Source organism: Homo sapiens, chromosome 12 (assembly GCF_000001405.40).
Source record: "Homo sapiens chromosome 12, GRCh38.p14 Primary Assembly".
Classification (NCBI taxonomy): Eukaryota; Metazoa; Chordata; class Mammalia; order Primates; family Hominidae; genus Homo; species Homo sapiens.
In genome coordinates, this window is record NC_000012.12 from 76634072 (window position 1) to 76659943 (window position 25872).

Consider the following 25872-nt stretch of genomic DNA (forward strand, 5'->3'; position numbering starts at 1 on the left):
TTCTCACCTCTAAAGTGGTTTCAGTGTGCTACTCTGGAATGACACATTATATCTAGATTTCAGCAAATATTCATTTTTTTTATACACAGAGGTAGTCGATGCTGCACTCTGCATTTCTTTCCATATACCCCTTTTGTGTATTTCTAACTCATACTTTGAGTAGAAAATGGGAAAAAATGTTTTCCTCCTATAATTTCCCCTCCCCCAGAACCATCCTTTTTCCTCTTTCCCTCCTGCTTTGAAACAGCTACTGAGCTGCCAGCAGAGGATTCTATTAAGATGAAAGCTTTGTCCTTGCAGAGGCAGACAAAGGGCTCTAAACAGAGCCTGCTCTCCAGTGTCTAGGAGAAGAGGTTACCATTCTGTCACAATGGTCTCTCCCATACCTTGCCCCCAACAACGCCCACATCTACCTCTCAAATATCTCGTTCTTATTGCTCCAGTTTATGGCAACGACAAAAACACTAAAAAAAATACTGATTCAAATATAATAAAGATGAAAACACACAAATAACTTTTACACATGTTGTCTCATTTTGTGAAGCTGTCTTGGAAAAACCCTCGAGTTCTGTGGGGGAAATACTAGTATTCACTCTTTCTTTTGTTCATTCATACCTGCACTTTTTTTTTTTTTAAGACAGAGTTTTGCTGTCATTGCCCAGGCTGGAGCGCAGTGGCGTGATCTCGGCTCACTGCAACTTCCGCCTCCCGGGTTTAAGCGATTCTCCTGCCTCAGCCCCCCGAGTAGCTGGGAGTACAGGTTTGTGCCACCATGCCCGGCTAATTTTGTATTTTTAGTAGAGACGGGGTTTCTCCATGTTGGTCAGGCTGGTCTCGAACTCCCGACCTCAGATGATCCACCCGCCTCGGCCTTCCAAAGTGCTGGGATTACAGGCATGAGCCACCGCGCCCGGCCCACAGCACATATTTTTATGTAGAGATACTGTGTGCCAAGCAAGATATTAGGCACTACATAACAATGGCAAAAAAGGAAGTGTTCCTCACAAAGCTTATTGTCTAGCTGGGGAGACAAATGAGTAAGTAGGCAAATATGATTTATTCAGAATGTACCAATTCGGGTATGCACTTATGGAACCCAAGGTCATTGTAATGGTATTCAAAAGTTGGAAACTATCTAACAATAATAAGTGTTAAGTTACTATTACTTTTGAAAGATATATTAGTGATATACTTTTTATTATTATTATTTTTTAGACAGAGAGTCTTACTCTACAGCCCAGGCTTTGAGTGCAGTGGCATGATCATAGCTCACAGCAGCCTCAAATTCCTGGGCTCAAGTCAACCTCTCATCTCAGCCTCCCAAGCAGCTAGGATTATAAGCACATGCCACCATGTCCAGCTAATATTTTTAAAAAATTTCTGTAGAAACGGTCTCACTCTCTTGCCCAGGCTGATCTCAAACACTTGTTCCCAAGATCTTCCTACCTTGGCCTCCCGAAGTGCTGGAATTACAGGCATAAGCCACCACACCTGGCCTTAATGACATAATTTACACTAAATGTTTTGAGAGGGAGGGAGAGAAAAGCTGAAAGCCAGAATGCTAACTGGAAGAAATATATTAAAAAGTTGAAAGGACTTATCTCTGTGAGATGGGATTTTTCTCCTTTTCATGTTTCTGTATTTTCCTAATTTCCTATGACAAGTATGTGTTACTTTTATAATTAAATTAAAAAACTGTAAGGTGAAAAATGTAAGATTGTTATAAGTATGCTGGCACCCAGTGATGGTAATATTTATCTTCAAATATACCTTAAGCTAAAATGTATCTTTCTAATGAAATTTTAGTTTTTAAATGTTCCTTTATAACTTTTCTTTCAATATTTTATCTATAATTAGCTTCCTGGTTTTAAAATTTCACATTTAAGGAACAACTTTCAAATATGTGCCTATGTATTCAGAGATATTTACAGTGCTTTTGTACATTATGTCATTTAATCCAGACAGTAATCCCATGAGGTTGGTGTTGTTATCACCTTTTTACAGAGGAAAAGCAAGGTTCAGAGATATTAAGGAACCAAAATCACAGTTAGTGGGTAGCAGAGACAGAGCTCCAATACAATTTTTTCAAAACTGGAAATTCAGAGTTTCCTGCATTTCACAATGGTGCCTGTTATGTAGCTCTGAAATGATTCCAAACACTTACATAGATTGCTACGTGTGACATATGTTTTGCTGTGATAAGAACATGGAGTGTAATCCCCCTCCACATGGGAATGTTACGTTGCGATGTTATAGGACCAACAGATTCATATGCCTGCTGTGCAGTGACAGACAGGTACAGAGATAGCAGGGTTTGCAGCAGAGAAAGAGTGTAATGATCACAGGGCACCAAGCAAGGGGATGGGAGGAGACCCTTAAATCCATCTCTCCGAGAAGTTTCTAGCTGACGTTTTTCAGGGGGTCATGGAGGGTGAGGGGCTGGGAAATTGGGGTCATTGTTTTGTCAGGTAATGGGGATGAAATCATCAGGATGTGGAAACTGCATTCTTTGGTGAGTCATCTCTTCATGGGGTCCTTCAGACCAGGTGATGTCAGTAGTTTCACTGGTATACAAAACCTGAAAGAGCAAATGAAAACCTCAAATGGAAAACTTAACATTTTATAATGTTTAAATTGTTCTCTATAGAGCAGTTAAGGGGAACTATAATCTTGTAACAGGGTCTATGTGATTCTAAGGCAAGAGGCACAAAACAACTATGAGGGAGTGGGTCAGAGAGCAGGCTGACCTAGCGATTAATGCTGCATGTGCTGCAAGCTTGGTATATTTTTGTTTCTTCCTCTCACTTCTTCCATGATTAATTTATAAAGTTTACAGGGACGGTTTCAATACCTTATCAGACTAGATATATGAGTTATTGGCCTCAACTACTGGACTCCAAAATACATATAAACCCAAGAATTTTAATTAAGAACAATTTTTTTTGACATAGGGTCTCATTCTGTTGCCCAGGCTGGAGCAGAGTGGCACGATCATGGCTCACTGCAGCCTCTACCTCTTGGGCTTACGTAATCCTCCCCCTTCAGCCTCCCAGGTAGCTTGGACTATAGGCACATGCTGCCACGCCTGGCTAAATTTTGTATTTTTTTGTAGAGACGAGGTTTCACCATGTTTGCCAGGCTGGTGTCAAACTCCTGGGCTCAAGCGACTTGCCCACCTTGGCCTCCCAAAGTGCTGGGATTGCAGGCATGAGCCACCACGCCCAGCCGAACCCAAGATTTTGACAGAAAGATTGAGAGCTTAGGTGATGGGTGCCAGAGCTACTCTCTGCCAACCTCCCCACCAACACCAGCATCACTCACTAGCAGTGAGGGGCCTTGTGTGTCACCACGGATTTCCGCCATGTTGGTCAAATCATCTCTTCTGAAAGCCTCCCCTGTAAAGGTATACCTCAAACTTCTATTAGACTTTACATCCTTTACATCCGCAGAGGCCTGCTTCCATCCTAAGTAATTATATTCCTTTTTTTTTTTTTTTTTTTTTTTTTGAGACGCAGTCCTGCTCTGTTGCCCAGGCTGGAGTGCAGTGGCATGATCTTGGCTCACTGCCACCTCCACCTCCTGGGTTCAAGCAATTTTCCTGTTTCAGCCTCCCGAGCAGCTGGGACTACAGGCACAAGCCACCAAGCCCAGCTGATTTTTTCGTATTTTTAGTAGAGGTGGGGTTTCACCATATTGGTCATGCTGGTCTCGAACTCCTGACCTCAGGTGATCCACCCGCCTTGGCCTCCCAAAATACTGGGGTTACAGGCATAAGCCACTGCACCCAGCCCCTAAGTAACTAAATTCTAATAATTGGATTCTAAAGAAAATCAGAACTCGTTCACTATGTGACTAATGTACTTCATTTATGGAGTGCATTCCTGTGAGATTTGTTGTCATTATTCTCCCCCTCTTTAAGCATTGTAAAAAAAATCTGTTTGTATGTCAATAACCCATGTGATTCATGAAATCATATTCTGATCCTCTTGTTTTAACCACACAAAGTAGTGGCTTGCTAGCATTATTTATATCCCAATGTGCCCTAGACATTTCAATCAAGCAGAGATGTTTGGATCAGCATGGTATAAGTACACGTGTTCTCAAATTTATTTTCACTGTTGCTTCCTATAATTAACTACTGACATAATTTCAAATAGCTAATAGTTGCTTAATATGTAGAAATAACTGAATACAACTCATCTCTGCTCTATTTTTTAAATGTATTTTTAGTGTGTATTTTATTTTCTTGATTATAAATGTAACAACTGTTCATGTAGAATTTTTGTTAATTAGGATTAGTTTGCCATGCTGATTTTTAAAACATTTTTTCCCACTTAATGTGGTGGGTCTGTTATAGAATTGTTTCTAATTTAATATTCAAATTTTTATGAAAATAGGCCAGGTGCAGTGGCTCACACCTGTAGTCTCAACACTTTGGAAGGCTGAGGTGGGCATATTCCTCGAGCCCAGGAGTTCAAGAACTGTCTGGGCAACATGGCAAAACTCCATCTCTACAAAAAATATATAGAAATTAGCAGGGCATGGTGATGTATGCCTGTAGTCTCAGCTACTCTGGAAACTGAGGTGGGGGAATCCAATGAGCCCAAGAGGTTGAGGATGCAGTGGGCCATGATCGCACCACCACACTCCAGCCTGGGCAACAGAGCGAGACCTTGTCTCAATAAATAAATAAATTCATTTTAATGAAAATAATACATTTATGCAGATTAAAATAGTCAAATACTATGATTAGGTTTATAGTGAAAAATAGCAGTCCTCTTTACTCTTCCTCCCATTCTAATTCCCATTCTTCCACAGATAACTGCTGTTTTAGTCTATTCAAACTGCTCTAACAAAGTACCTTCGACTGGATAATTTATAAACAACAGAAATGTATTGCACAGTTCTGGAGGCTGGAGAGTCCAAGCTCAGGGTGCTGGCAGACTCAGCATCTGGTGAGGGTCCATTTCCTCATAGATGGCACCTTCTAGCTCCGCCCTCACTTAGTGGAAGGGCAAAGAGGGAAACAAGCTCCCTCACACCACTTTTATAAGGGCACTAATTACATTCACTAGGGCTCTGCCTTCGTGACCTAACCACCTCCCAAAGATCCCACCTCTTAATATCAACACATTGGAGATTAGATTTCAACATATGAATTTTGGAGGGACACAAATATTCAGACCATAGCAACCACTTTGGAAATATCTTAGCTATTTTGGTGGTATATACCTTGGTAATCTGAAATAACACGTGAATACTGCTGTTTTCTGTTTTGTATTGTTGTTTTTAAAATTTCAGTATCTGCTTTGACATGCTGGTTTCTATGGGAGCCCTTCATTTCCCTGGTCTTATGTTTCCACTTGGGGCAATGTTAGCAAAAATAACTCTTTGGGCCTCTCTCTCCATTTCTCACTCCCTCCTCCAGGAAGAAGGGACTTACTTGGCTAGTGAGCAGGCCTGCCTCAGCCTCTTCTTTCTCTTGGATGAACCTGCCTGAGGCAAGGTGCCTTCAATTTGGCTCTCCCATTTGGTGAGCATATTGAGGCAGTGTCTGTTCTGTGCAATAGGTTAGTGATGAAGGGGCTAAGTCTGCTTAACTCATAGTTGAAATATTAGGAAGATCACACTCTGTGCTCCAACCCAGCATTTGTTTGACAGAAGCTATTAATGCTCCCCTCCCAGGCCCCCACCTACCTCTAACTGTAAGCTCACCTGCTGTGGTGTGACAGCTTCCACCCTGCTGACAGCCTCCCACCTTAAGCTCTAGCATCTCTTTACTTCACCACAGCAGGGCTTTCTTTGGCCCGACAGGAGCTCTTAGTTGTATAAGCAGAATGAGAAATGCAGAGGCGTTTGCGTACGCCATCTTCAACAAGTCGACCAGCCTCCCTGTCCTCTGGTGGGACAATGCAAAGGCGTGTTCCACCCTGTTTCTCAGAAGGTCTCCAGTGGGACTGAGCTCACTGACACATTCTTAATGGCTTTTCTCCTTTTCCAGTCTCTCTTTCCCATACCCTCACTCCACTTCCTAGAATCACTTCCCCCAAAACCTTCCCACACCCAAACCTTGAAGCTGATATTTTGATCTTTATCCATCTGACTCTTATTACCATCTCTCAATTGATTCTGAACAATCTCCTATGATGAAAGATGAGGATTTAAGTGGGGCATGGTGGCTCATACCTGTAATCCCAGCACTCTGGGAGGCCGAGGTGGGTGGATCACCTGAGGTCAGAAGTTCAAGACCAGCCTGGTCAACATGGTGAAACCCCATCTCTACTAAATATACAAAAATTAGCCGGGCATGGTGGCATGTGCCTGTAATCCCAGCTACTAAGGAGGCTGAGGCAGGACAATTGCTTGAACCCGGGAGGCAGAGGTTGCAGTGAGCCGAGATCGTGCCACTGAGCTCCAGCCTGGGCAACAAGAACAAAACTTCATCTCAAAAAAAAAGAAAGATGAGGATTTAAGTCTGTTTCTCTCCCCACACTCTCCACTTACATACATGCGTGCTTTTCCAATCTGCATGCCTCAAATATAGTTATACAATCAGTATTGAATTAAATTAGTATTAAATAATTACATGATTATGACCATAAGTACATATCTGATCCACATATATACTACCTTAAACTTCCTGCATCAACTTTTGTCTATAAAACCCCTCTGACATGGCCAAATACATCTGACCATCTATCAGTCCCATTTTTTCTTGGCGTTGTTGCTCCTGCCTCCTGCTCCAGCCTGGCCTGGTTGCTGTCCGACCTGCTACCCAGATTCTGACCTTTGCCACCATCATGGGATGTCCCCTGGCCTCCTCTGGTGCTGGATATCCATTTTCCTCTTTCTCAGTTTACTCTCTTATTTTAGTGGAGCCCAATAACTCCCAGGAGCTTTCTGAGAAGCAGATATGGAAGGTAAATTATTTGAGTCCTTGCTTGTCTGAAAAAATCTTTAGCTTTTTACTTTATGTAGAGTTTAAGCAGACAGAGAATTTTACTTAGAAATCATCTTCTTTTAGAATTTGGAAGTTTTAATCAATTATCATCTAGTTTCCAGTGGTTGCTACTAGGAATTTTGATCCCATTTTGATTCCTGATACTTTGTGACCTTGCTTTGCTTTTCTCTTTCTTTCCTTCTTTCCTTTTCTTTTCCCTCCCTCTCTCTCTTCTTTCTTTCCCTTTCTTTCTTTCTTTTCTTTCTTTCTTTCTTTCCTTTTCTTTCTTTCTCTCTGTCTTTCTTTCTTTTCTTCTTTCTCACTTTCCTTCTTTTTTTTTTTTTGACAGGGTCTCACTCTGTCCCCCAGGCTAGAGTGCAGTGTCAAGATCTCAGCTCACTGCAGCCTTGACCTCCTGGGCTCAAGCAATCCTTCCACCTCAGCCTCCCGAGTAGCTGAGACTACAGGCATGTGCCACCATTCCTAGTTAATTTTGTATTATTTGTAGAGATGGGGTCTCCCTGTGTTGCCCAGGCTGGTCTCAAACCCCTGGGCTCAAGCAATCTGCCTGCCTCAGCCTCCCAAAGTGTTGGGATTACAGGCGTGAGCCACTGTGCCCAGACTAATTTTTCCTTTCAAGGAGTTTTCATAGATATGTCTTTTAAAATCTTTTGTCTTTTGAAATTTCATGATGTTGTTCTTTGGTTTAGTTTTTTGACCGGACTGTAACTGAAATGTTTTCATCAGAAAACTCAGGTCCTTAAATTCTGGGAAATTGGTTTGTACGTCTCTAATGCTCTTCCTTACATATTGCATCTGTTTGTCTTGTTTGTGTGTGTGCGTGTTTTGTTTTCTTGTCTTGTTCGTGTGTGTGTGTGTGTGTTGTGTGTTTTGGGTTTTTTTTGTTTGTTTGTTTTTAAGACAGGGTCTCACTCTGTTGCCCAGGCTGAAGTGTAATGGTGCAATCATAGTTCACTGCAGCCTCAAACCTCTGGGCTCAAGGAATCCTCCTGCCTCAGCCTCCTGAGTAGCTGGGACTCTAGGTGTGCACCACCATGCCTGGCTTATTTTGCTATGTTGCCCAGGCTGGTCTTGAACTCCTGGCCGCAAGTGATCTGCCCCCTTGGCCTCCCAAAGTGCTGGGATGACAGGCATGAGTCACTGCATCTGGCATCTGTTTATCTTTTTGTTCTTTCTGGGAAATACACTTGACCGTATATTCAAGCTTCCTTTTGATTTTTCATTTCTACCATCTTATTTTTTAATGTTGAAGACCTTTAGACTATTCTCTAAATATTCCTTTAAAAATAGTGTTCCTGAGATCACAGCCTTTCTGATACAACCATTTGAGAGAACAAATTTCCACTTTTCTGTCAGGGGAGGGAACGGGTAGCCACGTAGAGAGGGATGAAGAGATGGGGAAGTGGGTCATCTCCCTACTCCTTTTCAAGATTTTTAACCAATCCTTCTGTTTTAGGCCCAATTGTATCCCTACCTGAGCTCTTCTGTGATTCTACAGTTTGCTTCTTATTAGTCCTTTCCATGCAGCCCTCCTTTACTCTGACCTTTTCTCCCCCAATGCAGACTTAAATTTCAATTCTCTGGTCTGCTAAATCAATTACTACTCATACATATGTTTCTAGGAGGTAGAATATTTTTACCATAGAATTGTAAGATGATTGACATATACTTCCAACTACCTCTCTAATAACGGCATGACATTTGCATAGTGTGTTGTAGTTTCTTTTTTTCTTTTTTCTTTTTTTTTTTTTTTTTTGAGACGGAGTCTCGCTCTGCTCTGTCGCCCAGGCTGGAGTGCAGTGGCACAATCTCCGCTCACTGCCAGCTCCGCCTCCCGGGTTCACGCCATTCTTCTGCTCAGCCTCCCGAGTAGCTGGGACTACAGGCGCCTGCCACCATGCCCGGCTAATTTTTTGTATTTTTGGTAGAGACAGGGTTTCACCATGTTAGCCAGGATGGTCTTGATCTCCTGACCTCGTGATCCACCCGCCTCGGCCTCCCAAAATGCTGGGACTACAGGCGTGAGCCACCGCGCCCAGCCTGTATGTTGTAGTTTCTGTAGTACTCTCACATATATGCTCCCATGTCATCCTTCCATCAGTTTGGTGAAAAAGGGTTTATTATTCCCATTATGCAGGCTCATTTAGCACTTAAAGCAAGATAGTGATTGCTGAATGCCAACCACTAATAAGCCAGCCTTACAGATGATAATTTGTTTAATCCTCAAAACAACTTTTTACGGTAGGAAGTATTACTATCGCCATCTTATAGTTGGGAAAATTGAGGCACAGAGGTATAGTAATTTACCCAAGTTCCATTAGCTAGTACATAGTGAAGCTGAGGCTTGGCAGTCTACCTCTAAAGTCCATGATCTTAAATCGTATTTTATGTTGCAAATAAAATGTTAAATAACAGACTCAAAAAAAGTAATTTTCTAGAGTCAGACAGGAGATAAAGGGTTAGAACAAGTACTTGAGCCAGTGTTTTTGACTCCCTGCCTAAAATGCTCTCCAAATTACCATTCAAGGTGGTTGTCAACATTGAAATTTATAGCAGAGCAGTGAGACACCTCAGAGACATAAGTTGCTAGGGATTCTGCTCTTCTTATAGAGCTGTGATAAATGCACTTGGTATGTAAATATTTGATTCTATCTACAACTGGTTTCTTAGAATGGATTTTTAGAAGCTGTATTACTGGATGAAAAATACATGAGGTTCTTGGCACAATGTTTCACACTTGTAATCCCAGCTACTCAGGAGGCTGAAGCAGAAGGATCATTTGAGCCCAGGAGTTCAAGGCTGCAGTAAGCTATGATTATGCCACTGCACTCCAGCCTGGGTGACAGAGTGAGAGCCTGTCTAAAATATAATTAATAGCTGGGCACGGTGGCTCATGCCTGTAATCCCAGCACTTTTGGAGGCTGAGGCAGGCAAATCACTTGAGGCCAGGAGTTAGAGACCAGCCTGGCCAACATGGTGAAACCCCATCTCTACTAAAAATACAAAAAAAATAAGCTGGGTGTGGTGGTGGGCACCTGTAATCCCAGCTAATTGGGAGGCTGAGGCAGGAGAATTGCTTGAACCTGGGAGTCAGAGGTTGCAGTGATCTGAGATGGTGCCTCTGCACTCCAGCCTGGGCAACAGAGCGAGACTCCATCTCTAAATAAATAAATAAATAAATGAATAAATAAATAAAGGAGGAAATAAAATATACCAGAACAAATACTAAAATATTTCTCTGGCTTACAGAAAAGGTTTTCTTCTTAATTCTGTTTATCTAAAGATTTGTAAGAGAAGTAAAAATGATACAGTGAACATAAAACCAACCAACCTAAGATTTCCCCTTTTTCTTCTAGCAGAATCCAGTATTCATGGTCTATATTACTTTTAAATAAGAGAGGAAATTGCTATAAAATGCTTTTTACTATAATAATTCCTACCAAGTCCTATAAAACTTCTGGACTTCTGCACCACTGACAGAGTTATTAAGTAAAGCCCAGAGTTTATTGATGAAACAATGCTTTAGCAAAACAGCCACTGGCAGCTTAAGTAAAAGGGAGTAAGCACTTGACTTACAAAATTTACCTGAATAATTTCTGGCTGTTTTATAAATAAATAAATAAATAAATGGATTTTCCTAAAAGGAGAGTTCTAAAAGGAGAGTTTCTAAGGAGAATATTGCTCACAGGTGAATTCCACTTTTCAGAAACAGTGAACAATTTGAACCTGGCTACTGAGGTCCAAATTTCCTCGCACCCCCAGTGATTTAGTCTACTGGCAGGGTGGGAGTTTCCCAGGCACAACTGCAGCTGCCCAAGCTGCAGCTGCAACCCAGGCACCCCTGTGCTCTTGAGAGCCAGGAGCAGGCAGGAGTCCTGCCCTCCCAGGTGCAGCTGCAGCTGCAGCTGCTCAAGCCCTGGCTGTGGACCCAGGCATCTCTGCACTCTCAGGGCTCCGGGAAGGTCCCCCAATCCCCTGCAGGCTTGGAAGTGCCTGCTCCCACTGCTTGTCTTCTCTCTGCTCTCAGCACCCAATCCGGTCATGGAGCAAAGTTGAGGCTGAGCCTGGGCACTGTTGCAATCTGGCCGGGTGTGCACATGCTCAGGGCAGTGCTGACATGCCAGCCCCCTGCCGCTTTGGGCCCCTCTGGACTTTGGGTGCCAGTGATCACAGGAGAGAGGCTGGGGGGGTGCTGAGGGCAGCTCTGCGCTGGCCTGCAGGTGCCCCTTTGCACAAACAGCCTGGGCATCATGAATGGCGGCAAGAGGCAGACAGGCTCCTGGGCAGAAGGGGGCGGGTCCCTGGTGAAGCCCCACCTTCAAGCTGGGGAGGGCCTGTGCCTGGGGGATGAGCTGCTGGTCCCATGGACCAGAGTGGAAACTTGTGATGCCTTTTCCGGGCCTGCCCGTGGTTGCTCATGGACCAATCAGTGTGCACTTCCTCTCTCTGAGGCCCATAAAAGCTCTGGACTGAGCCAGACTAGAGGGATGACAGGACCACCAGCTGCAGAGAGAAGCTACCCCCTCTGCTGAGAGCTGAACACTTGTCAAGATGCCCTGCCTGCAGAGAGGAGCTACCCTCTCTGCTAAGAGCTGAACACTCACTGGGACACCCTGGCTATGGAGAGGGGCTGCCCACTTTGGGTCTCCTCCGAGCTGCTCTATTGCTCAATAAAGCTCCTCTTCATCTTGCTCACCCTCCACTTGTCTGTGTACCTCATTCTTCCTGGACACAGGACAAGAACTTGGGACCCCCTGAATGGTGGGGCTAAAAGAGCTGTAACACAAACAGGGCTGAAACACACCCCTTACTCACCACATTGAGGGCAACCAGAAGAGAGGAGAGAAGAGCTGCAACCCTTCAGGGAGCCCAGACCTAGGAAATCCCCAAGCCAGGGCTATGACACCCTCTTTAGGGCTCTGCAGTTCCTGGTGTCTCCAAGCTTTTAGGCACCACCACATTCCCCAATGTGAGCTGTGGAAGCTGCTTATGGTACACCTGTTCTAGCTGCAGCCTGGCAGGGAGCCTACACCCATGCTAGCACCTGGAGCTGCTCGCCCCAACGCAGCCAGCATGACTGGTCATGTGCAGTGGTCAGACCCCACACTCGCTCACACACCCTTTGCTGCTCCATGCCTGGCTTGGCCTTGGCATGCATGGGATCCAGACCAGCAGCATGAGCCTAGTGCAGCCTGCTAGGCCAAGTGGGCAGAATGAGTCCAGTGGGCCAGAGCAAAACTCAGGCAAAGGTGCCACCAGCCATAGAGGTTTCTGGCTGGTGAAGCAACACCCCAAGGATCCCTTAACAATATGATTACTGAAAACTACCCCTTTTAAATACCAAGAGAAAGATGTGAGTGATTCAGGTGACTTCTCAAGAGAAATGTCAAAAATAAATATTTTGTTTGTATCTTTGAACTTAGCAAGTCATAAATCTCAGCTTGTGAATTGCTATCTTAGAGTATACTGTAGGACAGAGAAACTTTAGCAATACTCAAAGCAGCAGTTGAAAATGCTTCCCTGAGAGTGGGTGGTTCTGGTTGCTTCCTTGGAGTACATTGTCAGCGACCAACCATGAAAGAAAAGTCTTTAGAGATTAAACATAATAATATGAATTTTTTTTAAAAGACAGCAGAAGCAGAACAAGTTAGCTCTGAGTCAAACTGACAGGGATAGATACTGTCAAGTCTTGTTCTTTTATTTTATTATTTTACTCATCCTCATTTAACAGATGGGAAAACAGAGACACTAAGAGGTTGAATAGCTTGCCCAAGGCTACACAACTGCAAACTGGATTTGAACCCAGATGGTCTGACTCCAGAGCTCATGCTGGTAACAACTGTGTTATGCTGTGCCCAGACCTGGTACTAGCAATTTGTTTTAGTAATAAAGGCAGTTTCATTTAGTGCTAGTAATAAAGGCAGTTCCATTATTACCTCTGAGCAGTCACTGTCTTGTTAGGGAGAGAAATCTTTTACTTTTATTTTTAACTTTTTTTAAGAGATGGAGTCTCACTATGTTGCCCAGGCTGGTCTTGAACTTCTGGCCTCAAAGGATCCTCCTGCTTCAGCCTCCCAAGTAGCTGGGATTACAGATTACAGGTGCAAGCCACCATACCTGGTGGGGACAGAAATCTTGCATACACAAAGATTATTGTGTTAAGTAATAGTTAAGTAATACTATTACTTAACTCAAACGTTGTGAGGATGAAATTAGTTAATTCATGTAAAATGCTTAGAATATCACTATCCTTCATAACTTTACATATATACTTGACATATATTATCTTTTGAAGTTCTAAAAACCACTTTATAAATACTTACTTATAAGTACTTGCCTTGTAAGTACTTATAAGTAAATATTATTAACTCCATTTTACAGATGAAAATATCTAAACTTTGGGGCCTGAAACACCTTCATTTGAATTTTACCTCTTAGATGTTTTTCTTTTTCAAGTTAAAAAATAATAATAATCCTGAGCTGACATTCAGAAGAATATGCCTACCTCCTATGCTGACTGTTAGAGTTGAATGAGTCAAGGAATGTAAAGCACCTTGCTCCATGCCTGGTGAATGTTAGCAGGACTGCAGCTTTGTCCATCTCTAGAAAGCTTTGTTCACATTATAATGTATATAAATGGAGTCCCAATTTCCTTCCTGATGCAATAATCCTAATTCAATCATATTTACTTCTTTTGAATACTTTAGTAATGAAAAACTTACTTTACTAAGTGGCCTATTATTTTTGAGGATTTTTAATTGTTAGGAAGTTCTTCATTGTGGTGAACTGAAGTCTGCCCTCTTATAACATGGACCCACTGAGATGAGCTCTACTCCTTTCAAAGGCACAGAAGGAGTCTTATGCAGGGTCCTTACAGTCCTTACACAGGGCGGGTGATGGGGAGGCATAGGCCAAGAATATCTATGGATACATTTCAAGGGTCTATGAATTTAGATGGGGAAAATATACAACATCCTCATTTTCACTCATCTCTAAATTTAGATTTCCTTCAATTATTGAGTGGAGGCAACAAATCACAGTAGCATTAATAGTCTCTATGACTTTGTCAGTTACAGGAATCACAGATATTTCTGTATCATATTCCTGTTGTCCTAAAAATCTTAAAATCTCATTTATTCAGGGTAACCGCAATTTCTGAAGTTTTTAGGCCTGCCGCTACACCTTATTATTTGCATTAATAAAAAACATACATGTTGCTATAGCACAAGCTTGTTTAAAAAAAAATTTCAAGGACTGTCTTTCAACATAATTGGTTTCTTTGTAATCCTATGCATTATAGTTTCTACATTTAAAAACATTATTAGAATAATGTTTCTATGGAATATGGAAAGGGTCCATAAGCTTCTCTGGATCACCAAGGGGTCCATGGCATAAAAAACTTTTAGAAACTCTAGTCTAATTTCTTATGTATAAGTCAGGCCTTCAAATATTTGAAAACAGCTTTCTCTTTTTCAGAAAAAAAGGTCCCTGGTATCCTATTTCAGGACAATATTTTTCAGGAAGCTGCAGCCTGGGAAGGGCCAGCCCAGGAATGAGATCCTCCTGCTGGGGAGATGGAGCCGGCATCACAGGACCAGAGCCAGCTGCCCATGCGGGCAGCAATACCGTTCTGCAGCAATGCATGATGGTGGAGGGAAGGCTAACAAAAATAGGTGGTATTTCAAGAAAGTAGTCCATGTGCCTGGGTGTGCATGGTTGGGGCGGGGGCCGGTAGTGGTGAATGCGATAGTAAGAGAAATTAGCAGAGTCCCATTTAGTGGACAGAGCTCAGAAGCAGAACAGAAATCCCGGGTGTTAGGCATTATGCTAGGCAATTTATAGACATTAGTGGTTTTATCCTCAAAGTAAAGCAGTGTGGTGAATATTATTTCACCTAGTCTCTTTCTGAGCTACCCAAAGTTTAGAAAAAGTTAATTTACCCAAGTTTATCCAGATGTCTAGAAAACTAGGCAAAGAGCTGGAAAGCTTTTGAGGATATTTGGGTAACTAGTGAGCATGCTCTGGGGTGTAGTGAGAGGGTTTTTAGCTATATGGGGTTGGGGTTGGGGTTCACAAGAGCCAAGAAAGACCTTCCTCCTAAAGTGACTTGGGGAATTAACAAGATACAGAGAAGCACTCCAGTACAGAAACAAAGCAGAAACCACGTATCAGAACCGGTACCTAAAATGGCGCACGAGTCTTTAGAACAAGGGGAAGCGTACAGTCACCCTTTCACCTCTATGCCTTTGCTCATGGCATTCCTTCTGCCTTATTCATATGACTTCCTCCCCTATGACAGCCAAAGGCCACCCCTTCCTCCTTTAGACAGACCAAATGCCTGTCAATTGATCATCTGTCTCTGGGGACTTCATCTGATTTATAATACTCTTTTTTGCCTTTCAGTTAGATCATTTCCCCTCTCAACCTGGTGTTATTTAACAAAGGCATGCAGAATCAAAGTGTCAGCTTACCTACAGAAACACGATTAAATGGTTTTAGTAAGAGTGCCAATAAGTGTATCTCTAAATGGATCTTTATTCATTTCAGGAAAAATACTGGTATTTAATCTAAAATATTTAACAGAGTTTTTTAAAAAGATGAATGTTTCTTAGGAGATATACCTAATGCTAAATGACAAGTTAATGGGTGCAGCACACCAGCATGGCACATGTATACATATGTAACTAACCTGCACATTGTGCACATGTACCCTAAAACTTAAAGTATAATAATAATAAAATAAAAAATAAAATTAAATAAATAAATAACAATCTAGAACTAGAAAAAAAAAGATGAATGTTTCATCATGTACTTTCCCCTCAAGTCTTATAAAACCCATTTGTGCAAGTATTGCTTAAAAATATTGTTTATGCAAAAGATTTATTGGGTGTGCATCATCAATGAGCCTGAAATGGTATATAAAAGATAGGATGCATTTTACTATTGGTGTTTGGATGCACCATAATATTGACAGAATTGATTTCAATTCAAGAAGCACTTATTGGACAAATGCTATTAACAGAAGCTACTCTGGGAGATTAATCATTGAAGAAGATATACTCTCTGCTTTCAAAGAACATTTCATTTAATGGCAGGGACTGAAATAATACACGAATGCTTATGGAGAGTTAAACAAAATGTAGCAATAGCAATATCTTCTTTCCTGCCAGAAGTAATCCTTGGAGAACAGGATTTGTCTTTTTCTTCCTTCCCTCACTCCTCCTTCATTTTCTTAATTCTTTAAATCATTCATAACATCTAACATACATGCTTCTTATAAGAGATTTCTAATAAATTTCAGGTAAATATTTGATTTCAAGTATTCTCAAAGTAAACCAGTGTGGTGAATATTATTTTTCCTATTCTCTTTCTGAGCTACCCAACATTTCAGTTTTGTAGGCTTCTGTATTTTGGCAGTATATAATGTGGGTCTAGGTGAATGCTATGAGTAATTCTTGCAAGTCACTAATTGATTATTTGCTTTTTCCAATTAAAAGACTATCCTTTTAACAATCTCTTGCATTATTATTATTAGATCAGCTTTTACTACAGGCAATATGAGTGTTACAAGTCAGATTGATTTCTCTGAGACTTCGTTTCTCTTATTTTAACACAGAAGGAATATTTTATTGTATGCATACTCTTTTAAAAACTCACAAAAACCAAACCCACAGGTAGAAGCAAAGAAAGTCTTCCAGCATCTCTGGGATAGGGCATCATATCTTACAGAAACATAAATAATACAAGAATGAAATTTACAAATTAACATTACCCTTTGCTTCTCCAGTCAAAAAAGGCTATAGAAAAAAACACTTCAAATTGTATTCTAATATAAATTTGTTACACAATCCAACTTCAATTTACTCAAAGAGTTATTTTATTGTAAACTGCAGAAAATAGAGTAGGCATCTAATAATCTGTTCATAATTAACAGTTAAGAGTTAGACAAATAAATATAGCATGTATTACTTGTTAAACCTCATATTTATAATGAGCAAATGGTTTATCATTAATAGTAACTGGTTTCTTACATTTTAGGAGAGACCAGATCCAGTAATGGAAGTAGAAACTACTTTAATGAAAACTGATTTTAGAAAAATATTTCCATGGGTCTGAGCTACTATAGTATTTATTACATATTTGGGTCCATTTCAACAGTTTAAAAATGTAGATGCTAACAAACTGAATTTTTTAGGGAGAGAACAAAGTAATACATCCTATAGAAATATTTTTTGTTTACATCCTGTAGGAGTCTAGGTAGCAGGACAGAGCTAGGACACGGTAAATAGAGAATTACAATGTAATGAATAATTAGCTTCTACCTAAGGCTATAGAGGTATTGCTATCACTTGGACTAATAAAAGGCAATTTAAAAACTGTTTATAATGAAGAATTGTGAGCCTAAGTTTCAATGTCAATGACATTGTTGGGATAGATGATCTCCAAGGTCTCAAACAGTTCTAACATTTCTGTGCTTCCTTGACACCTATCAGAAGAGACCCCATTTTCTTTATGTAACCCATCACTTAGTTTCGTAATGGTGATTTGGTTCTATAATAGTCACAAGACCTGTGTAAGGAAGATGTCAAGATGTTTTAAGAAGAACCCTATTATAATATGGTTTAACATTAAGAAAATTCTGTGTGTGTGTGTGTGTGTGTGTGTGTGTGTGTGTGTATTATTGGTCAAATCAAAGTCTCTAAAAAATGCTTACATAAAGTAAAAGCTCTCTATAACGTTATTAGCTGATTATGCTGGTAAGCATCCTTTACATAATAATTCTCCTCCCTTGTATTGAATTAAATTAATTCTCCTGCCTATATTGGCATATAAACTTTGGGGGTTTTTCTCTTATTTAGTATAGGCTTTAGGGGCATATAAACTTTGAACCACATAAATGAAAATTACTTTAAGTATATTTGGAGATGGAAAGAGACCCTTAATATTGAAGCAGCCATGCTTTCATCTTCAGAATATTTAAATGTACATTGTTAAAATGTAAATTGTGAATAGTTTGAAAACTGAAAGTTCTTTCTTAAAAATTAATTTCTTTGATTTAAAATATTACGTGCTTTGAAATAAAATGGGATATATACTGCATACTTAAAGAGATTTCTTCTTGAGGCTCACAGCACTTCACAAGCATGAAATAATGTGCAAATGCATTAACTCTGGTTATTTATGACAAGTCTCTAAGGGGAGGTAAAAGAATGGTCTCCAAGACATTTTCTCTTTAAAAAATTAAAGTTCTTTAATTATTGATATTGAGAATTTCAGTTAAGTGCCATATGTCTGGGTTAAACTTTAACCTTTTTTGTAATGCAATTAAATCCAAGAGATAGATATAGGCAAATACAGAGCAGGCCAGCCGAGAAGTGTAATAGTGACTCGGAAGCAATGAGAGGTAAAACTAGGAAGAAAGGAAATGCCCAAGCAACCAAAGCCTTCCTCCTCCCAGCCCCAAGTTCCTCTAGTACTTAATCCTTAGGAGCCAGGACAATTCTGATTCAAGAGAACGCACCTAGGATTATCAGTTGCTTACCTGTGCTTGTTAAAGTTTGAAGCTGTAAAACATATACATGTAATGATAACAAGGAAGTGTAATTTACTGAAGTCTGACTATGCCTTAGGCATCATACAAATTTCTAAGCTATAACTCTCTAGCAGGACAATTCTTTACAACTTCCACTTTTGTACCATTTTGCTCCTTGTTGTTTTCCAACCAGGCGCCCACAAGAGAAAAGAACCAAAAAAAGTGAAGTGTTGCTTAAATAATACTAATATTCAATCATTATTAGAAAGAATAATAGCTCTAAAATATCAGTGTAATGTTAGGTATTCCAAAGGTACTTGGAAATGCAGTGTGAATATCAAACTTTCCCAAAATTTGGAGTCTTGGTAATAACTACATTTATTGTCAATTGAAATAGACAAAATTATTACCAGAATCCCCCCACCCTCCCCCCCAGCCCCATGTAGGTCAGGTCTCACTGCTGAGTGTGCTGTAATTATGTACACCAAATGAGCTACAGCTTGAGCTAATAATATCATACTGAGTACTAGGAAGCTGTAATTATATACAACAACATAATGTAAGGTTGGCAAGATTTTTAGTACTGGGGAATCTAGTGTCAAACAGCATCTAGCAGAGTTAAAAGCTGAACTTGAGGATTAGAATAATTGGTCTACACTGAACTGATACAGGTCATTGTGGCTCAAGCAGAATGAATTGTGTGTCTATTAGATAGCCAAATGCAATGATAGTAAATACACCTAGACATAGTGGAAAGTCTTAAATCACATATTGCATTACTTTACAACATAAAGCATTTTAAAGATTGAGCACTGGCTACATGTCTGTGCACCATGCTGAATGCAGGAAATTTTAAAAATCAAAACAAAACCAAGATAGGAAAAGAGAATTCCTGACTGTCAATTGCTCATAGTGGCACATATAATTATGACACAGGGTGAATTTGTGTTATAATAAAGATAAGTACAAAGTCCAATGAATTAACAATGCAGTGACAGGTCTGCTGCCTTTAATGATAACTTTACAACAAATCATACTTCTATTGCTTTGCAAAAAAAAAGTTTCCCTCACCTGGTACAGTGGCTCATACCTATAATCCCAGCACTTTGGAAGGCCGAGGTGGGTGACTCACTTGAGCCCAGGAGCTCAAAACTGACCTGGGCAACATAGTGAGACCCTGTTTCTACCAAAAAAAAAAAAAAGTTTAAAAATTAGCCAGGTGTGGTGGCACGCCTGTAGTTTCAGCTACTTGTGAGACTGAGGAAGGAGGATGGCTTGAGCCCAGGAGGTGGAAGCTGCAGTGAGCTATGACCACACCATTGCACCCCAGTCTGTGCAACAGAACAAGACCCTGTCTTGAAAAGGGAAGAAGATATTTCCCTTAAATTTCATGCATTTCTCATATTTCCTGATAGAATAATACAGGATCAGCTTCATAAAGTTGTTTCTGTTAGGAATTTCTTCCTCCTTGATAAACCATTGTATTTTATAATGTGTCCTTCCTACTCTAAAAGCAGCAAAGATTATTCCATTGTTACAAACTTGTCTTTCCATCTGCTCTCCTTAACAAGGGTTAATCTTAGTGTCACTTTTCAATGCCTTAACTCTGAATTCCATTTAGCTTACAGAAAGTTTTAGGAAAAAATCTGTTTGGTGGTGTTTAAAATACATGTGCTCTAATTTTTCCAAGTGCCACACTTTTATTCGGGAAGAAATTACTTGTTGGCTAAGTGATTTCTTAGGTTTTTAAGTAGTGAAGAAATTTTCAGTCCAATCAATTTGATCATTTTCAGGAATTTGTTTCTCTGAAGGCATCTAAATTTCTTGTGAATATTTTGGGAAATGTAGAGTATATACAAGTATATTTTTGCATGGAAACGTTGCCTGTTTATTTATTTATTTTTTGAAATGGAGTCTCGCTCTGTTGCCCACGCTGGAGTGCAGTGGCATGATCTCAGCTTACTGCAGCCTCCACCTTCTGGGTTCAAGCAATTCTCCTTTCTCCTGAGTAGCTGGGATCACAGGCACATGCCACCACACCTGGCTAAGTTTTCTATTTAGACGAGGTTTCTCCATGTTGGTCAGGCTGGTCTCAAACTCCTGACCTCAGGTGATCCGCCCACCTTGTCCTCCTAAAGTGCTGGGATTACAGGCATGAGTTATCGTGCCTGGCCATTGCCTGTTTATTCTGATGGAGCATAATTTGATTGTGCACATATTGTTCCGTTCAGGAAATGATGTGTATATTTTATGCACAATTAACCTCTTGAAGCTCTTATTAAGCAATAACAATCACTTTGACTTAGTTATTTTTGATAGATCATCATTTAGGAAATTACTCAAGAGATCAAGAGATTCTTTTTTTCCCTCTAATACATGTGCTTAAATTTTCTGTGTGTTTTGTTTGTTTGTTTGTTTGTTTGTTTGTTTTTGGCGGAGTCTTGCTCTGTCACCCAGGCTGGAGTACAGTGGCATGATCTTGGCTCACTGCAACCTCTGCCTCCCGGGTTCAAGCGAGTCTCCTGCCTCAGCCTCCCCAGTAGCTGGGATTATAGGCACGCACCACTACGCCCAGCTAATTTTTGTATTTTTAGTAGGGATGAAGTTTCACCATGTTGGCCAGGCTGGTCTCAAATTCCTGACCTCATGATCCACCCACCACGGCCTCCCAAAGTGCTGAGATTACAGGCGTGAGCCACCGCACCCAGCCTAAATTTTCTTCTTATTGTGAGTACTGGTGAGAATGTTCAGAGATTGTTAAGCATGGCTATTCAAAAAAAGCCAAAGAATATTGGTTATTGTTCTGCTTGCTGAGATAAAGTAGTAAAAGTGGTTTCACCCATTGTAACATAAAACATTCCTAAAAATTTATAATTATATAGCCAAAAAAGGACTGAGCCTATGAAAAGGAAGCAAAAGGTAATTATAGGTATTTATTTGGCAGAATTGAACAAGCCGATCACTGAAATGCAAAGCAGATACTACCTGTGCCATTAAACTAGAACAGCTGATTATTATAATGTGCTCCACAAGGGTTCAATTCACTGTTTCTCTTGCTATATGTAGATCACTAGATTACTGTTTTCTCCTCATCTGTTCCAGAGAAAGTACAGAATTTCTTTTTCTTTTTTTGGTCTTTTCTTTCTTTCCCTTTTTCTCTCCCTCTTTCTTTTTTTGCAGATAAGGTAATCCCGACTGAATCAACAGAAAGACTATAGATTTAATAAGAGAATTCAGCAAGAATGCAAGCTACAAGATCCACTCACAGAAATCAATGTTCCTCTGTATCAACAATAATCAACTAAAAATATAACAGATTCTATAATGTCATTCACAATAGCAATCAAAAGATAAACTATGAATTTAACTGAACAATTCATAAGACCTTTATGAAGAAAAAGTTTTAAATTTATTTAAGGGCTGGAAAGCCTAAATAAATGGAGTGCTATGCCTTGTTCATGGAACAGATGGCAATACTGTAAAACATGGAAGTTCTCAAAATTAATCTATAAACGCAAGTCAATGCCAATTAAAATTAGAGAAGGACTTTTAAAAAATGAATTCAACGTACTTATCCTGACATGTATAAGAAGACCAAATATTTTATGAATAATTAAGGCAACTTAGAAAAAGGTCAGAGAAAGAGGGCACCTTACTGCCAGATATCAGACAGTTACAAAACTATGGTAATCAAAAAAGTGGGACGTTGGCTTAGGAACACATATACCAGTGAAACATGCAACAGAGCTCAGTAACAGATGCATGCATATGCACAGGCAGAGAAAGGTTGATAAACTGTTTCATAGATGGTATTGGTCAAGGTTGCCAGCAGCTGTAGTAAAAAAGTAAAATTTAAAAGAAAAATTTAAAAGAAAAAAATAGTATTGGGAATATGTCACTGTATGAGAAAAATAATGCTGTATTCTTAGCTTATACCAGTGTTTCTCAACCCTTTTCCTTATTATCCTCATAAGAAATCATGTTAGACATTTTCTCCCAATTTTCCTCCTTCTCAATGAAATTTTAATATCACAGGTATACTGTATATCTCTTTATATATTATGCCACTTAGGAGAGCCATAAACCATTGTAATATCTACTTTTTTTTTCCTACCCCTAAGAACCAATTTTCACTCCCTTCAGAGTGATATCACCCCCTGCCCATTAAGAATGCGTGCTTGTACCATATGCAAGAGTGGAATCCAGTTGGATTAAAGTACTAAATGGAAAAGATAAAACTGAAAAGCTAATGGAAAAGAAAAAAGAGACATGTGAAGTATTTCTCAGGCTTTCAAGTGTAAAAGGTCTTCTTAAACCAGCTCCTTTTTTGCACAAACTCTAAGATAAAAAAGATGACATTAAAATTAATGGCTCTTTATCAAATGTTATAATAGGCAAAGTTTACATAGAGATCACAGTACGGACAAAGATATTTGACACAAGTAAAGCCAACAGGGGATAGATATCTACCTTAGAGAAGACATTCCTGTTAATTAAATGAGAAAATGATAAACCCAAAAGAAAAATGGGTAAAGGATATGAATATGGCATTCGCATAATGAGAAACTCAAATACCTAACATATAAACTTTGCAAGTAATTAGAAAATAAAATAGAGATTAAAACTACCGGTGGAAAAGAGGTCATGAAACCAAAAAGCCAGAGTACTAAAAGGATAATGAATATACTGATTTCTTCAGAAAATGAGAGGGAGTAACCTAGAGTTTCTATATAATTACAATAAGAAAGGGTTATCCAGTGATACAAGCTTTATATATAGGGTATTTAGAAAGAAAGAGAGAAAATTGTATAGGAGATTTGGGAAACAATCCTTCAGTGGTCTTTTATGTTTATGCAATTCTTATGAGAAGACTGCCTTTGTTCTGAACTACCTTTTCAAGGATGTTTGTATAGAAAACACCTTTGGAAGATGGAGATAATTAAGGGAAGGTTTATTTACTGTTCATTATAATAAAAAATATATTTCTTTAGGGCAAAGATCAGGCAGTCTTATTAACGATTTAAAGAGATTTAAGCAGGTTGCAGTGGCTCATGCTTGTAATCCCAACACTTTGGGAGGCCATGGCAAGAGGATCACCTAAGACCAGGAGTTCAAGATCAGCCTGGGCACCATAGCGAGACTCCATCTCTATAAAAAATTTAAAAATTAGTTGGGCTTAAAAGCAATCTACAAATTCAAGCAATTCCCATCAAAATACACCATCATTCTTCACAGAATTAGTAAAAACAATCCTGAAATGCATATGGAACCAAAAAGGAGCCTGCATAGCCAAAGCAAGACAAAGCAAAAAGAACAAATCAGGAGACAGCACAAAACCTGACTTCAAACTATACTATAAAGCCATAGTCACCAAAACAGCATGGTACTGGTATAAAAAACAGGCGTATATGCCGGGCACAGTGGCTCACGCCTGTAATCCCAGCACTTTGGGAGGCCGAGGTGGGCAGATCACCTGAGGTCAGGAGTTCGAGAGCAGCCTGACCAATATGGTGAAACCCTGTCTCTACTAAAAATACAAAAATTAACCGGGCATGGTGGCAGGAGCCTGTAATCTCAGCTACTCAGGAGGCTGAGGCAGGAGAATTGCTTGAACCCAGGAGGCGAGGTTGCAGTGAGCCAAGATCGCACCATTGAACTCCAGCCTGGGGGACAGAGCAAGACTCCGTCTCAAAAAAAAAAAAAAGGAATATAGACCAATGGAAAAGAACAGAGAACCCAGAAATAAAGCCAATACTTACAGCTAACTGATCTTCAACAAAGCAAACAAAAACATAAAGTGGGGAAAGGATGCCCTTTTAAACAAATGGTGCTCGGATAATTGGCAAGCCACATATAGAAGAATGAAAGAAAGAATGAAGCTAGATCCTCATTTTTTCACCTTTAAAAAAAAATCAATCCAAGATGGATCAGAGACTTAAATCTAAGACCTGAAACTATAAAAATTCTAAAAGTGAAAAACCATTCTGGACATTGGCTTAGGCAAAGACTTCATAACCAAGAACCCAAAAGCAAATGTGACAAAAACAAAGATAAATAGATGAAACTTAATTAAACTAAAAAGCTTCTGCACAGCAAAAGAAACAATCAGTAGAGTAAACAGAGAACCCACAGAGTGTGAGAATATCTTTGCAATCTGTACATCCGACAAATGACTAATATCCAGAATCTACAAGGAACTCAAACAAATCAACAAGAGAAAAACAAACCCATCAAAAAGTGGGCTAAGGACATGAATAGACAATTCTCAAAAGAAGATATACAAATGGCCAACAAACATGTAAAAAAATGCTCAACATCACTAATGATCAGGGAAATGCAAATCAAAACCACAATGCAATACCACCCCACTCCTGCAAGAATGGCCATAATCAAAAAATCAAAAAATAATAGATGTTGGCATGGATGTGGTGAAAAGGGAACACTTTTACATTGCTGGTGGGAATGTAAACTAGTACAACCACTATGGAAAACAGTGTGAGATTCCTTAAAGAACTAAAAGTAGGCCAGGCGTGGTGGCTCACACCTGTAATCCCAGCACTTTGGGAGGCTTGGGGCAGGCAGATCACAAGGTCAGGAGTTCAGGACCAGCCTGGCCAAGATGGGGAAACCCCATTTCTACTAAAAATACAAAAATTAGCCAGGCATGGTGGCACACACCTGTAATCCGAGCTACTCAGGAGGCCGAGGCAGGAGAATTGCTTGAACCCAGGAGACAGAGGTTGCAGTGAGCTGAGATCACACCACTGCACTCCAGCCTGGGGGACAGAGTGAGACTCCATCTCAGAACAAAAAAAAGAACTAAAAGTAAATCTACCACTTGATGCAGCAGTGCCACTACTGGGTCACTACCCAGAGGAAAAGAAGTTATTTTATGAAAAAGATACTTGCAGATGTATGTTTATAGCAGCACAATTCACAATTACAAAAACATGGAATCAGCCCAAATGCCCATCAGTCAATGAGTGGATAAAGAAAATATGGTATATATATATATACACCATGGAATGCTACTCAGTCATAAAAAGGAATGAAATAATGGCATTCATAGCAACCTGGATGGATTTGGAGACTGTTATACTAAGTGAAATAACTCAGGAAAGGAAAACCAAACATTGTATGTTCTCATTCATAAGCAAGAGTTAAGCTATGAGGACACAAAGGAATAAGAATGATACAATGGACTTTGGTGACTCAGGGGGAAAGGGTGGGAAGAGGGTGAGGAATAAAAAACTACACATTGGGTACAGTGAACACTGCTTGGGTGATGGATGCACCAAAATCTCAGAAATCACCACTAAAAAACTTATTTATGTAACCAAACTCCACCTCTTCCCCAAAAAACTATTGAAATAAAAAA

General features: G+C 39.9%; 1 long non-coding RNA gene across 1 annotated transcript in view, besides 3 other annotated features; it reads right to left on the bottom strand.

The window, feature by feature from the left end:
* Positions 1 to 654: an enhancer, noted in NCBI's record as "NANOG-H3K27ac-H3K4me1 hESC enhancer chr12:77027852-77028505 (GRCh37/hg19 assembly coordinates)". NCBI's record gives its function as "activates a minimal SCP1, AML or CMV promoter by ChIP-STARR-seq in naive H9 embryonic stem cells {active_cell/tissue: H9 hESC(naive)}" and the evidence as "EXISTENCE:reporter gene assay evidence [ECO:0000049][PMID:30033119]".
* Positions 655 to 1307: an enhancer, noted in NCBI's record as "H3K27ac-H3K4me1 hESC enhancer chr12:77028506-77029158 (GRCh37/hg19 assembly coordinates)". NCBI's record gives its function as "activates a minimal SCP1, AML or CMV promoter by ChIP-STARR-seq in naive H9 embryonic stem cells {active_cell/tissue: H9 hESC(naive)}" and the evidence as "EXISTENCE:reporter gene assay evidence [ECO:0000049][PMID:30033119]".
* The window catches only part of LOC105369851 (uncharacterized), a 28850-nt gene continuing 5025 nt past the window's right edge, over positions 2048 to 25872 (bottom strand). Inside the window, exon 2 of the long non-coding RNA XR_945115.3 lies at positions 2048 to 2578. This is a non-coding gene — a long non-coding RNA (uncharacterized LOC105369851). The remainder of the gene's footprint in view (positions 2579 to 25872) is intronic.
* Positions 2096 to 3295: an enhancer, noted in NCBI's record as "P300/CBP strongly-dependent group 1 enhancer chr12:77029947-77031146 (GRCh37/hg19 assembly coordinates)". NCBI's record gives its function as "activates an origin of replication core promoter dependent on BRD2, BRD4, P300/CBP, MED14 and CDK7 cofactors, with strong dependence on P300/CBP, by STARR-seq in HCT116 cells {active_cell/tissue: HCT116}" and the evidence as "EXISTENCE:reporter gene assay evidence [ECO:0000049][PMID:35650434]".